Here is a 15,564-nt window from a genome sequence, read left to right on the forward strand (position 1 = left end):
CCTGGCCTGGTATCAGTATTTCTTGTTAGTATTAATGTGTGTGTGTGTGTGTGTGTGTGTGTGTGTGTGTGTGTGTGTGTGTGTGTTGTGATAGTAGTGATGGTTCTTATTTTAGTACAAAAGTTAATTTGGCCAGGGGCAGTGGCTCATGCTTATAACCCCAGCACTTTGGGAGGCTGAGGCCAGCGGATCACCTGAGGATGGGAGTTCGAGACCAGCCTGACCAACATGGAGAAACCCCATCTCTACTAAAAATACAAAATTAGTTGGGCGTTGTGGTGCGCGCCTGTTATCCCAGCTACTTGGGAGGCTGAGGCAGGATAATCGCTTGAACCCAGGAGGTGGAGGTTGTGGTGAGCCGAGGTTGCACCATTGCACTCTAGCCTGGGCATCAAGAGCGAAACTCCATCTAAAAAAAAAAAGTTAATTTGTATTTTGGTCTGTTTTATAAAATTATCATTTACTCTGTACATAGCTTAATGACAATTTTTTGTTTATTTGTTTTGTTTTTGAGACAGGGTCTCACTCTGTCACCCAGGCTGCAGTGCAGTGGCACTATCGTGGCTTACTGCAACCTCTCCCTGCCAGGCTCAAGCGATCCTCCTGCTTCAGCCACCAAGTAGCTGGGACTACAGGCACAGGCTACTACAGTCGGCTAATTTTTGTATTTTTTGTAGAGATGGGGTTTCACCATGTTGCCCAGGCTGGTCTCAAATTCCTGGGCTCAAGCGATCCACCTGACTTGACCTCCCAAAGTGCTGAGATTGTAGGCATGAGCCACCATGCGTGGCCATATTAACAAGTTTAAAATTTTTGTTTTATAGTTTTGACTTTTTCCTGGAAAATATTAGGCACTTTTTTTGATAACACAAATCTGCTTTTAATAATGTTAGAGAGAAAGGCCAGGCATGGGGGCTTACACCTGTAATTCCAGCACTTTGAGAGGCTGAGGTGGGTGGATTGCTTAAGGCCAGGAGTTCAAGACCAGCCTGGCCAACGTGGCAGACAGGCAAAACCCGGTTTCCACTAAAATTACAAAAATTAGCCAGGCATGGTAGTGCACTCCTGTAATCGCAGCTATGGTACACTCCTGTAATCCCAGCTACTCGGGAGGCTGAGGCACAAGAATCACTTGAACCCAGGAGGCAGAGGTTGCAGTGAGCAGAGATCAAGCCACTGCACTCCAGCCTGGGCGACAGAGTGAGACTTTGTCTCCAAAAACAAAGAATGATAGAGTGAACTTTTTCAATGTGTCCAAATTCGAAAATTGCTTTTTGTTTTGAAGCTAGGTTTATTCTCTGAATTGTGAGGTTTATTTTAACAGTGGAAATTTTAAAATATTTAATACCGTAGGTGGTGACTCTCAAAAGGAAATAGGATCATGGCAGCAGATGATGACAATGGTGATGGAACAAGTTTATTTGATGTCTTTTCTGGTAAGAGCTACATTTAATTGTCTTTCTAATTTCCTTTTTTTTTTTTTATGAGACAGGGTCTCCCCCAGTTGCCCAGGGTGGAGTGCAGTGGCGCCATTAATAGCTCACTATGACTTCAGACTTGGGAGCTCAAGGGATCCTCTCGCCTCAGCCTCCTGAGTAGCTAGGACTACAGGCACATGCCACCACGGCCATCTAATCATTTTATTTTTTGTAGAGAGAAGGTTTCACTGTGTGGTCTAGGCTGGTCTCTAATTCCTGGACTCAAGCGACCCTCCCTTTTTGCCTCCCAAAGTGTTGGGATTACAGGTGTGAGCCACTATGCCTTGCCTAACTTTACTTTTTAAATTACAAAATCATTTACCTATTCTCATTGGAAACACAGTCATTATCAGCCTTTTCCCTCTATACATAAATGAATTAATAAAATAAAATGCCTGGGACATGGGAATGCTTAATAAGTGTGAACTTACTGTATGCTTTCAAGCCTCAGAATGTAGTCAAATTAGTGATTTTACTAATATGAATGATAATGATTTTTATTGTTATACCTAAAAATATATAAGATAGGTTTTTGTTACTCTTGAAGTTAATATTTCTAGTAAATGCAATGATGTTTGTTGTTCAGAAAAAAATTGGGCCAGGTGCAGTGTCTCATTCCTGTAATCCCAATACTTTGGGAAGCCAAGGCGGGCGAATCACGAGGTCAGGAGTTCGACACCAGCCTGACCAACATGGTGAACCCCGTCTCTACTAAAAATGCAAAAATTAGCCGGGCATGGTGGCATGTGCCTGTAATTTCAGCTACTCAAGAGGCTGAGGCAGGAGAATCACTTCAACCCAGGAGGTGGAGGTTGCAGTGAGCTGAGATTGTGCCACTGCACTCTAGCCTAGATGACAGAGCAAGACTGTCTCAAAAAAAAAAAAAAAAATTGATAGTCACAATGGATGATTAGTTTGAAAAAGAGATAACTGTCAATACCTGGTATTAAAATAAGCTCATAAAATAGAATTTCTTTCTTTTTTTTTTTGTTTGAGATTGAGTCTTGCTGTTGTCAGCCTGGGCTGGAGTGCAGTGTCGCAATCTCGGCTCACTGCAACCTCCGTCTCCTGAGTTCCAGCAATTCTCCTGCTTCAGCCTCCTGAGTAGCTGAGATTACAGGTGCCTGCCACCATGTCTGGCTAATTTTTGTATTTTTAGTAGAGACGAGGTTTCACCATGTTGGCCAGGCTCGTCTTGAACTCCTGACCTCAGGTGATCTACCCACCTTGGCCTCCCAAAGTGCTGGAACTACAGGTGTGAGCCACCGTGCCCAGCCCAAAATAGAAATATTTTAAATAATATGCAGAAGGTAAACTTCCAAACACTGACATAACATTATTATCTCTTTCTTTTAATGATAATCATGCTGTGACCTCATTGAATTTGTTGAGATATGGGCATATGTTTATTGACCAGAATAATGATTCCTATGCCATGGAGAGTAAGAAGGACAGTTATAAAACATGTTTAGTAGAATTCCATTTTTGCTTAAAATAATGTTTTAAACAATTCATAGATATGGAAGAGTTCACACCAACTATGGCCATTATAACCATTCTGGGTGGTGTTATTTGGTGTTTATTTTTGCTGATGTAGTTTCAAGTTGTTATTCTGTTATGTAATTCTCTTTGATGTTTTTTCCTTTGAAAAATTTTAAGCCAGGCCGAGTGCGATGGCTCACGCCTGTAATTCTAGCACTTTGGGAGGCTGAGACAGGTGGATCACCTGAGGTCAGGAGTTCAAGACTAGCCTGACCAACATGGTGAAACTCCATCTCTATTAAAAATACAAAAATTAGCGGGGCATGGTGGTGCACGCCTGTAATCCCAGCTACTCAAGAGCCTGAGGCAGGAGAATCGCTTGAACTGGGAGGTGGAGGTTGCAGTGAGCCAAGATCCTGCCATTGCAGTCCAGCCTGGGAGAAGAGCAAAATTCCATCTCAAAGAAAAAAAAAAATTTAAGCCACCAAACTGAAAAATTGGAACTATAATATAATGAACAGCATTATTTGTCACCTAGATTCACAAATGATTAAATTTCATCACGTCTGCAACGATTAAAATTTGAAGGACAAAACTACAATTTAATCTGATTTTCTGGATGCAGCTGTTTTTATTTCTATGTATCACTGTCAAGTTGCTGTCTATACACACACACACACACACACACACACACACACACACACACACACACATTTTTTTTTTTTGAGACAGAGTTTTGCTCTTGTTGCCCAGGCTGGAGTGCAATGGCATGATCTAGGCTCACTGCAACCTCTGCCTCCCAGGTTCAAGGAATTCTACTGTCAGCCTCCTGAGTAGCTGGGATTACAGGAGCGTGCCACCATGCCCGGCTAATTTTTTCGTATTTTTAGTGGAGACGGGGTTTCGCCATATTGGCCAGGCTGGTCTCGAACTCCTGATCTCAGGTGATCCGCCCGCCTTGGTCTCCCAAAGTGCTGGGATTACAGGCGTGAACCACCGCGCCCGGCCAGGTTTGTTTGTTGTTGTTGTTGTTGTTGTTGTTGTTGTTGTTGTTGTTGTTTTGAGTTGGAGTCTCGCTCTGCCGCCCAGGCTGGAGTGCAGTGGCGCAGTCTCGGCTCACTGCAAGCTGTGCCTTCCGGGTTCACGCCATTCTCCTGCCTCAGCCTCCCGAGTAACTGGGACTACAGGCACCCGCCACCACGCCTGGCTAATTTTTTGTATTTTTAGTAGAGACGGGGTTTTACTGTGTTAGCCAGGATGGTCTCGATCTCCTGACCTCGTGGTCTGCCCGCCTCAGCCTCCCAAAGTGCTGGGATTACAGGCATAAACCACCACGCCCAGCCCATATATATATTTTTTAGGCTAATCAAGTGAAGCAGTAGGAAAAGCATGTACATTTTAAAAATAGTCACAGCTACGGTGTACTTTCTGCTTTGTGTCTTGCCTTTTTTTTTTTGAGACGGAGTCTCGCTCTGTCACCCAGGCTGGAGTGCAGCGGTGCTAACTCAGCTTACTGCAACCTCTGCCTCCCGAGTTCAAGTGATTCTCCTACCTCAGCCTCCAGAGTAGCTGAGATTACAGGTGTGCGCCACTATGCCCGGCTAAGTTTTGTATTTTTAGTAGAGACGGCGCTTCACCATGTTGGCCAGGCTGTTCTCAAACTCCTGACCTCAGGTGATCCGCCTGTCTTGGCCTCTCAAAGTGTTGGGATTACAGGCATGAGCCACTGCGTCCAGCCTAGACTCTCTCTTTGTAAACACACACACACACACACACACACACACGTCTAGATGCACACCCATTTTTTTTCCTGACCCATTTGAGAGTAAGTTGTATACATTATGGCCCCTTACCCCTAAGTATTTCAGTATGTATTTCATAAGGAAAAGTTGGTTCTCTTATATAACCACAGTGTAATTTCAGTTTCATTAGATTTAACACTGATAAAATACTTTTGTATTTGATTTGCTATTTTTATTCCAGCGAATGATGTTCTTTATTATTGTAGTTGGATTTAGGTCATTTTAATATTTGACTTCAATTTTTCTCATCAGTTATTTTTTTCTGATTTTCTTTCAAATATTATTTGAGTATATATTTATTTACTTATTTTAAATTTTTAAATTTTTTTTCTCCCTTTAGCACTAGTGCTAACTGCTAGTAATGTTTGAGTGTATTTTTGAAATGCATTTCATTTATGTATGAGCTTTTTCACTATACCTGTTTGTATTATTTTTAGTATTTGTTTGAGGAAGTGTATACATCTTTAACATTTTGTAGTCTGTTTACTAGTATTGTACCTTTTTACAATATCTTGCATGTATGGTTGCATCTATCTGCTTCTTTGCCTTTCATGTTAGAACCCCACAATAAAATGCTATAGTGTTTACTGGGCCGGGCGTGGTGTCTCACACCTGTAATCCCAGCACTTTGGGAGACCGAGGCGGGTGGATTGCCTGAGCACAGGAGTTCGAGACCAACCTGTGCAACACGGTGAAACCCCGTCTCTACCAAAATACAAAAAATTAGCCAGGTGTGGCGGTGTGTGCCTGTAGTCTCAGCTGCTTGGGAGGCTGAGGCAGGAGAATTGCTTGGACCTGGGAGGCGGAAGGCAGAGGTTGCAGTGAGCCGAGATCGCACCACTGCACTCCATCCTGGGCGACAGAGCGAGACTCTGTCTCACAAAAACCAAAAAAAAAACCCAAAAAAAACAAAAAAACAAAAACAAAACAAAACAAAAAAAATGCTATAGTGTTTACTGTAACAGTTCTATGGATCTTAAATTAAGAAGAAAAATTAGTCTTTTACGATTACTCATTTATTTACCATCTCCAGTCCTAGCATTCTTTGGTATCCCTCTAGTAGCAGTTTCCCCCCATTCTCTATTTGCTTCTGGACTCCACATATACACTATGTGAGGACTTTTGATATTATCATGTAGGTCACTAAGACTCTGTTCTTTTTTAAGAAAGTGCTCTCTCATCTACAGATTGGGTAATTTCTGTTGATCTGTCTTCAAGTTCAGTGGTTCTCCTGTCAAGCACATCCAGTAATTTTTTATATTAGATATTGTAATCTTCAGTTGTAGGTTTTTCATTTGGTTCTTTTTCATTGTTTCTGAGATTTTCTATGTAGTAAGTTTGTGTTTGTCTGTGTGGTTTTTTTGGAGACAAGTTCTTTCTCTGTCAGCCAGGCTGGAGTGTAGTGGCATGAACATGGCTCACTTCAGCCTCGACCTCCTGGGTTCAAGTCATCCTCCTGCCTCAGTCTCCTGAGTAGCTGGGACTACAGGCATCTGCCACCATGCTCAGCTAATTTTCTTTTAATTTTTTTTGTAGAGACAGAGTCTCACCATGTTACCTAGGCTGGTCTCGAACTCATGGGCTCAAGCAGTCCTCTGGCCTTGGCCTCCCAAAGTGCTGGGATTACAGGTGTGACTCACTGCACCTGGCCACCATGTAGTAACTTTGGATTGAATAGTCAACATTGTAAATGAAATGTTAGACACTGGATGCTGTTAACATTCCTCTGAAGAGTTGTTTTTAATTTTAGCAGATATTTAACTTAGCTGAACTTACAATTCGGTCTCTTCTGTAATAGCAACTGAAATCTCTATTTTAGATTTAGCTGGCTTTTTGGAGTTCTACCCTTTTTTGAGGGTCACCCAGAGATTTGGGCAGAATTTAAGTAATGCTCTTTGTGGATTTCTGTAATTCCCCTTTCATGTACTAGTCACTGTTATCATGACAAATTCTTTTCTCCGGTTCTTCAAGCTACTAGGACTGGAGGTTTCTATCTTGAGTTGTCACTGCCCAGTGTAGCTACAACTAGGGCCTGTCTTTATACAAAAAGCAGTAATAAAAGGGGACAGGGAGCTTGGGAGGTGCTATTTTCTTTCAGTTGTCATTACCCTTTTAGTTTTTGCCTGCTTTAGGTTGTTCTCTAGCTCTTTAGATAGCTTCACATATTTTATTTAGTGTCAACAGTAGTTGCCTGCAGGAGGATTGGTTTCATAGAAACTACTCTGCTATAACTGGAATTGGAACTCTTTCAGTAGAATATATATATATGAGACAGGATCTCGCACTGTCACCCAGGCTGGAGTGCAGTGGCATAATCATGGCTCGCTGCAGCCTTGACCTTCTGGGCTCAAGCAGTCCACCTTAGCCTCCCATGTGCCACCACACCTGGCTAATTTTTATTTTTGATATGCTATGTTGTCCAGGCTGGTCTTGATCTCCTGAGCTTAAGCAATCCTCTCTCCTCAGACTCCTAAAGTCGGGGGATTACAGGTGTGAGCCACTGCACCTGGCCTCACTAGTATATTTTTGAAACTGAATTTTTAAAGTCTGTATCTGAGGTAGTCAATAAATAAATCAGTGTGCCAAAATCTTCCTGTTTATAACTATGTGTAGAGACAATGTCTGTCTGTGTCTCTCTCTCCCTGTCTCTCTTTAATTTGAGACATGGTCTCACTCTGAAATCCAGGCTAGAGTGCAGGGGCACGATCTTGGCTCACTGCAACCTCCACCTCCCGGGTTCAAGCAATTGTCGTGCCTCAATCTCCCTAGTAGCTGGGATTACAGGCATGCACCACCACTCCTGGCTAATTTTTGTATTTTTAGTAGAGACAGAGTTTCACCGTGTTGTCCAGGCTGGTCTCCAACTCCTGGGTTGAAAAGTGATCTGCCTACCTCGGCCTCCCAAAGTGCTGGGATTACAGGCGGGAGCGACCATGCCCGGCCTTTTTTTGTATTTTTAGTAGAGATGAGGTTTCGCCCCGTTGCCCAGGCTAGTCTTGAAATCCTGAGCTTAAGCGATCCACCTGCCTCAGCCTCCCTAAGTGCTGAGTTTACAGGCGTGAGCCACCATGCCTGGCTTATCTCTTATTTAAAGCAAAACTGTTAAATCTCATTCTTTTCCTGGTCCTTTAGTGTAGGAATGGAAAAATCTCAGTGCCTAAAGTCATTTTTAACTAATCTTTGCCTTTCTTGCAGCTTCTCCTCTTAAGAACAATGATGAAGGCTCACTGGACATATACGCTGGGTTGGACAGTGCTGTTTCTGGTATGTGAATTCCATAAAAATAGTTTCATTTTCTTGGTCAGTTCATTGTTTTGTGGTTACTAAATCCTGGTATATCATAGCTCCTAAAGAATTTGCTCATTCTTTGTAATTACACTGAGGTAATTCTTTTCTTTCTTTTCCCCCACAGTAACTTCCAGAACCCAATCTTAACCAAAGCTTGATCAGAAAAACAAATTAGCACACAGGTTTTTTATTCATCTCAGTCTCAGATTTAATTGAGCCTTGTGCAAAAACATTTTCTACTATTGAAGTGCAACTAGTGCTGGTGTCTGTTACTACTCACTCATACTCTTTTTTTTTTTTTTTTTTTTTGAGACGGAGTCTCACACTGTCGCCCAGGCTGGAATGCAGTGGCTTGATCTCGGCTCACTGCAACCTCCGCCTCCTGGGTTCAAGTGGTTCTCCTGCCTCAGCCTCCCAAGTAGCTGGGACTACAGGCACGTGCCACCACACCCGGCTAATTTTTTGTATTTTTAGTAGAGACAAGGTTTCACCATGTTAGCCTGGATGGTCTCGATCTCCTGACCTCGTGATCCGCCCACCTCAGCCTCCCAAAGTGCTGGGATTACAGGCATAAGTCACCACACCTGGCCGCACTCATACTCTTGAAGGTTATATGATATTAGAACATTTGAAAAGTGTAAGTTACTATAAATATTTTTAAACGTATCAGTAAGAGTGATATGCTGAGAATCTAATGACCTATTCAAATTAGAAACCTTTTCCATAATCAGATTTCTCAGAGTTTTGAACAGTTATGATCTTCATACCTAATTTGGTTGACACAACCATTTTAGGTAAATTGGTAGTCCATCTGTAAAATCAGTATAAATTTGGAATGTAGGATAAGTGAAATGTAGGATGAAGTATGGGAGATGGAGAAATGTATAATCTTTGAAGTAGATAAAATATCAAAAAGTGTAACAAGGCTGGGCGCGGTAGCTCACGCCTGTAATCCCAGCACTTTGCAAGGCCGAGGCGGGCGGATCCCCTGAGGTCAGGAGTTGGAGACCAGCCTGGCCAACATAGTGAAAACTCGTCTCTACTACAAATACAAAAAAAATTACCTGGGCATGGTGGCACGTGCCTATAGTCCCAGCTACTCAGGGAGGCTGAGGCAGAAGAATCGCTTGAACCCAGGAGGCGGAGGTTGCAGTGAGCCAAGATAGCGCCACTGCGCTCCAGCCTGGGTGACAGAGGGAGACTCCTAAAAAAAAAAGGTGTGACAAATATTTTCACTTTGTGAGGCCAAGGCGGGTGGATTTCTTGAGGTCAGGAGTTCGAGACCAGCCTGGCCAACATGGTGAAACACCATCTCACCATCTCTACTAAAAATACAAAAATTAGTGGGGCGTGGTGGCGTGCACCTGTAATCCCAGCTACTCGGGAGGCTGACGCATGAGAATGGCTTGAACCTGGGAGGGTGAGGCTACAGTGAGCCAAGATTTGCACCACTGCCACTGCACTCTAGCATGGGTGACAGAACGAGACTCAAAAAAACAAAAGAAAAAAGTGTAACAAGTATTTTTATGGAAGGTTTTTTTTGTTTGTTTGTTTTTAGACAGCGCTTCCAAATCCTGTGTACCATCAAGAAATTGTTTGGACTTATATGAAGAGATCCTGACTGAAGAAGGAACTGCAAAGGAGGCAACATATAATGATGTATGGGTTGCCACAATTATTAAGGACAGTTATTTACTGTTTTGTAGCTTCTGAAGAGCAGTCAGCTGCTTAGTTTTGAACAGATATTTTGTTTAGGAACTTAGCTCTTAGACTAACAAATATTTAAGTCAGTTTTTGTCTTCAGACCTGTTTTTTAAAGGAATGTTTTCTGAATACTTGTCTAAATTTAGTTATAATTTTGCTTGACCCAATTTAAGCATCTGAATATAAAACCTCAACAGGCAAACAGTGTTACAACATTTTTTCTTTCATGATATGTACAAAGTTAAATTATATGTTGCATAAAATGTCCTCAGACTTCTATTTCTTTCTACTATATTTGAATTTTAAGGTTTGGATGTTGAATGTGAAACTAAACAAAATAGATTATTTGTAGGCTTAACTTTAAAACTGGTTATCTTTCTGGTAGAAGTAGACCTCATCTGCCTTCTTAGTGAATTGATTTGCAAAATTTAAAATATTTAGAAATGCCAGTTAAGCTAAGAAAATAATTTTGAATGATACTTCAATTAATCCTTTTATATTTTATAGTTGCAAGTAGAATATGGAAAATGTCAACTACAAATGAAAGAGCTGATGAAAAAATTTAAAGAAATACAGACACAGGTAGAGTATAAATGAAAACATAAAAAACAAATTACCAGGCACAGTGACTCACACCAGTAATTTCAGCACTTTGAGAGGCAGAGGTGAGAGGATTGCTTGAGGCCAGGAGTTTGAGCCCAGCCTTAGCAAGGTAGCGAAACCTCATCTCTACAAAAAAATAAAACAATTAGCTGTGTATGGCCCCCTGTAGTCCTAGCTACTTAGGAGGCTGAGGAGGGAGGACTCTTGAACTCAGGAGTTTGAAGTTAAAGTGAGCTGTGATTGTGCCACTGCACTCCAGCCTGGGTGACAGAGCAAGACCCTGTCACTTAAAAAAAGTAAAACAACAAAAAAAAAGTTGTTATAAATAGAAATTAAAATGTTAAAGTGTTGACAGTTTATAAGGAAGCTTTCTTTTAGTATTAAATGAAATAGCAAATGTGGCAAGTATGCATTATTTCCTGAGTTGATGAAATTGAATGAAATAGCAAATGTGGCAAATATGCATTATTTTCCGAGTTGATGAAACTGATAAAGGAAAACGGCTTGATTTATTAAATGACATTGATTATAAAGGGTCTGTTAGACTTAGGCCAATTAATAGTTAATTAATAGAAAATTGTGGAGATGATGACAACTGGTTTAAAAGAATGGTTTTGAGGAGCAAAGATACGGGTTTAAAATGGCTCTTGGGGGACACTGTTGATGCCTTCACAGCTTTTGCCAAAATGACCTATTTTGTGACTGTGCTGCAAAAATCAGGAATGTCATGTCCTGTTCTAGTTTTTACTTTTTGGTAAAATTGTATCTCTTCCTTCTCTTCCCCCTGAAAGAACCAGTGAACTCTCAATTCTTTCTTTGTTTATCTGGGGACTAATACATCTTTTTTTTTTTTCTGATGGAGCCTTGCGCTTCGCCAGGCTGGAGTGCAGTGGCACGATCTCGGCTTACTGCAACCTCCAGCTCACTGCAACCTCCGCCTCTCAGGCTCAAGCGGTTCTCCTGCCTCAGCCTCCCAAGTAGCTGGGATTACAGGCACCCACCATGACACCTGGCTAATTTTTGTATTTTTAGTAGAGACAGGGTTTTGGCCTGTTGGCCAGGCTGGTCTTGAGCTCCTGACTTTAGGTGATCCACCTGCCTCGGCCTCCCAAAGTGCTGGGATTACAGGCGTGAGCCACCATGCCCAGACTGGACTAATACATCTTTGCAAGTTTAACCAAAGCTGTTAAATTATAACCTAATTCTTACCATTTTTATTTTCAATTTTCAAGATCATGACCCAGGCAGAACTTACTTTTTCTGCTGTTCATTGGTTTTTCATTTCAATCTCTGTTTTAAGTAGTTTCACTTTAAGTGGGACTATTTCTGGTGCCAGTTATCTTCTCATAGTCTCAGCTTCCCCACCTGTATAAGGGGGATAAATAGTACTCCTCATAGGGCTTATAAATGTATGATGCCTGCATGTAGTTAACATTCAATAATTATCAGCTAATGTATGTAGTAGTATTAGTAACCCTATAGGTATGTACTTTATTAATATAGTTTGTGGTGTTTTAGAATTTCAGCTTAATAAACGAAAACCAGTCTCTTAAGAAGAATATTTCAGCACTTATCAAAACTGCCAGAGTGGAAATAAACCGCAAGGATGAAGAAATAAGTAATCTTCACCAAAGGTATTACTGAGCGGTGTAGCTGTTATAAATTACGTGGGTATTGATATGTGGAATATTTTTAACTTTTAGAGGAAAGATGAAAATAATGTATTTTTATTTTTTATTTTTTAATTTTTTTTTTTTTTTAGAGACAGGGTCTCATTTTGTCACCCAGGCTGGAATGCAGTGGTGTAATTATAACTCAATGCAGCCTCCACCTCCTGGGCTCAAGAGATCCTCCTTCCTCAGCCTTCCAAGTAGCTGAGATAACAGGTGCACAACACCATGTCTGCCTAATTTTTTTATTTTTTATTTTTGGTGGAGACAGGGTCTCACTATGTAGCCCACACTGGTCTTGAACTCAAGGCCTCAAGTGATCCTCCTGCCTCTGCCTCCTGAAGTGTTGGGATTATAAGGGTGAGCCACCATGCTTGGCCCATATGTGATTATTAATAGAACATTGTGGCCAGGCGCAGTGGCTCGTACCTGTAATCCCAGCACTTTGGGAGGCTGAAGGGGACAGATCACTTGAGCTCAAGAGTTCGAAACCAGCCTGGCCAACAGGGTGAAACCCTGTCTCTACTAAAAATACAAAAATTTGGCTGGGCATGGTGGCTCATGCCTGTAATCCTAGCACTTTGGGAGGCCGAGGCGGGCAGATCACCTGAGGTCAGGAGTTCGAGACCAGCCTGACCAACATGGTGAAACCCCATCTCTACTAAAAAAAAAAAAAAAAAAATACAAAATTAGCTGGACATGGTGGCGCATACCCAGCATCACAGCCACTCGGGAGGCTGAGGCAGGAGAATCTCTTGAACCCAGGAGGCAGAGGTTGCCGAGATTGTGCCATTGCACTCCAGCCTGGGCAACAAGAGTGAAACTCCATCTCAAAAAAAAAAAAAATATTAGCCAGGCATGGTGGTGGGTGCCTGTGGTGGGTGCCTGTAATTCCACCTACTTGGGAGGCTGAGGCAGGAGAATTGCTTGAACCTGGGATGACGCAGAGGTTGCAGTGAGCTGAGATCATACCACTGCATTCCATCCTTGGTGACAGCAAGACTCCATCTCAAAAAAAAAAAAAAAAGGAAGCAAATAAAAATAGAACATTGCCACATATTTATCTGAATATATTTAGTTTCCTAAAACACTGAGTTCTTGCTCTAATACTGTTTGCCCTGATGAGATGATGGTATATATGTCATGGGTTCTTCTAGGTCCCCACTAAATTACTAAAATATCAAGAGGGCATCTGTGCTCATATACCCTATTAATAAACAGCCCTTATACTATCTCTCAATTGTATATTCTTTTCTTTCTCAAGGGGATTTTCTCCATTAATTTCTCTCTTTTATTGGTTGGAGGCAATATTTTGCTCCAGAGAGGTTCATATTTTCATAGCCTAACCTCTGAAAAAGTTGTCTAAACTTGTAAACTTGTTTTCATTTTCTTTCTTTCTGCTAACTCACTTTTTATTTTTTTTAAGATGGAGTCTCACTCTGTCGCCAGGCTGGAGTGCAGTGGCGCGATCTTGGCTCACTGCAACCTCCCCCTCCTGGGTTTAAGCAATTCTCCTGCCTCAGCCTCCTGAGTAGCTGGGACTACAGGCACGCGCCACCATGCCTGGCTAATTTTTGTATTTTTAGTAGAGATGGGGTTTCACCATGTTGGCCAGGGTGGTCTTGATCTCTTGACCTCATGATCCGCCTGCCTCAAGCCTCCCAAAGTGCTGGGATTACAGGCGTGAGCCACTGTGCCCGGCCATTTTTTTTTTTTTTTTTTTTTTTGACAGAGCCTCACTCTGTCGCCCAGGCTGGAGTGCAATGGTGCAATCTCACCTCACCGCAACCTTCGCCTCCCAGGTTCAAGCGATTCTGCCTCCTGAGTAGCTGGGATTACAGGCGCTCGCCACCACACCCGGCTAGTTAAAAAAAAATTTTTTTATTTTTTGAGATGGAGTCTCGCTCTGTTGCCCAGGCTGGAGTGCAGTGGCGTGATCTTGGCTCACTCCAACCTCCGCCTCCTAGGTTCAAGCGTTCTCCTGCCTCAGCCTCCCGAGTAGCTGGGATTACAGGCACCCGCCACCACGCTGGCTAATTTTTGTATTTTTAGTAGAGACGGGGTTTCACCATGTTGGTCAGGCTGGTCTCGAACTGCTGACCTCAGGTGACCCACCTACCTCGGCCTCCCAATGTGCTGGGATCACAGGCATGAGCCACCGCACTCAGCCTACACCCAGCTAATATTTTTGTATTTTTAGTAGACACGGGGTTTCACCATGTTGGTCAGGCTGGTCTTGAACTCCTGACCTCAGGTGAGCCACCCACCTTGGCCTCCCAAAGTGCTGGGATTTCAGGCGTGAGCCACTGTGCCCAGACTTTTTTTTTTTTTTGGCAGAGTCTTGCTCTGTTGCCCAGGCTGGAGTGCAGTGGTGTGATCTCAGCTCATTGCAACCTTTGCCTGCTGGGTTCAAGCGATCCTCCCACCTCAGTCTCCCGAGTAGCTGGGATTACAGGCATGCACCACCTGTAAAAAAAAATTTAAAAAAAAAAAAAGATTTTTTTGTATTTTTAGTAGACGGGGTTTCACCATTTTGGCCAGGCTGGTCTCAAACTCCTGATCTCAAGTGATCTGCCCGCCTGGCCCTCCAAAGTACTGGGATTACAGGTATGAGCCACTGCACCCAGCTTCAAGGGTGTTCCTTTTGTGGTTAGTGCTTTTCGTGTTTACATTTCCCCAATGATCTCAAAGGTATCTACCAACAGTTGGTCGGTTGAGTCAGTATCTATATTAGTTTCCTAGGCTTAGTGTAACAAAACTACCAGAAATGGGTGGCCTAAACAACCAAAATTTGTCTCACAGTCCTGGAGGCTAGAAGTCCAAAATGAAAGTGTCAGCAAAGTTAGTTTCTTTTGAGAGCTCTGAAGGAAGGATCTGATTCAGGCCTCTGTACTCTTAGATGGTTGTCTACTTCCTATGTCTCTTTATATCCTCTTTCTAAATGTATCTCTGTGTCCAAATTTCCCCCTTTTTATAAGAACACCAGTAATATTGCATGCCCACCTTGAGGACATCACTTTAACTTGATTATTTCTGTAAAGACCCTTTAAATAAGGTCATATTCTGAAGAACAATGGGTTAGAACTTCAAATTATGAATTTGGTCAGGAGAGGGGACACAATCCATAACAGGGTTCATATGAGGCTTACATATTGTTTTAGGTTGTGTGTTTTTCTAATCCTCTCTTATAACAATCTGCCTATATTTCTGAGTTTTTTAAGTTTTGGGTTTTTCTACACATTTGCTACTGATTAGAAAAAGATATATGAAATTTCAGAGAAATTATGGAATTTCTGGAAGATGAAGTTATTACCAGAAGCCAATATAGGCCAGGCACAGTGGCTCACGCCTGTAACCCCAGTACTTTGGGAGGCGAAGGCAGGAGAATTGCTTGAGTCCAGGAGTTTGAGACCAGCCTGCGCAGCATAGTGAGATCCCATCTCTACGAAAAATTAAAAATTAGCTGGGCATGGTGGCTTGTACCTGTAGTCCCAGCTACTTGGAAGGTTGAAGTGAGAGGATTGCTTGAGCCTAGGA

The 15,564-nt window shown here is 42.3% G+C and overlaps 1 protein-coding gene across 3 annotated transcripts in view; it reads left to right on the forward strand.

Moving 5' to 3' along the window:
- The window catches only part of CASP8AP2 (caspase 8 associated protein 2), a gene marked incomplete in the record, with an annotated part of 44,557 nt that overhangs the window by 15,329 nt on the left and 13,664 nt on the right, over positions 1-15,564 (forward strand). For all 3 annotated transcript variants that reach the window (NM_012115.4, NM_001137667.2, NM_001137668.2), the window contains 5 exon segments: positions 1,354-1,436; positions 7,958-8,026; positions 9,609-9,709; positions 10,262-10,336; positions 11,876-11,991. In NM_012115.4, the coding sequence (NP_036247.1) occupies positions 1,382-1,436; positions 7,958-8,026; positions 9,609-9,709; positions 10,262-10,336; positions 11,876-11,991 (416 nt within the window).

The sequence above is a fragment of the Homo sapiens genome, chromosome 6 (genome assembly GCF_000001405.40).
Source record: "Homo sapiens chromosome 6, GRCh38.p14 Primary Assembly".
NCBI lineage: Eukaryota > Metazoa > Chordata > Mammalia > Primates > Hominidae > Homo > Homo sapiens.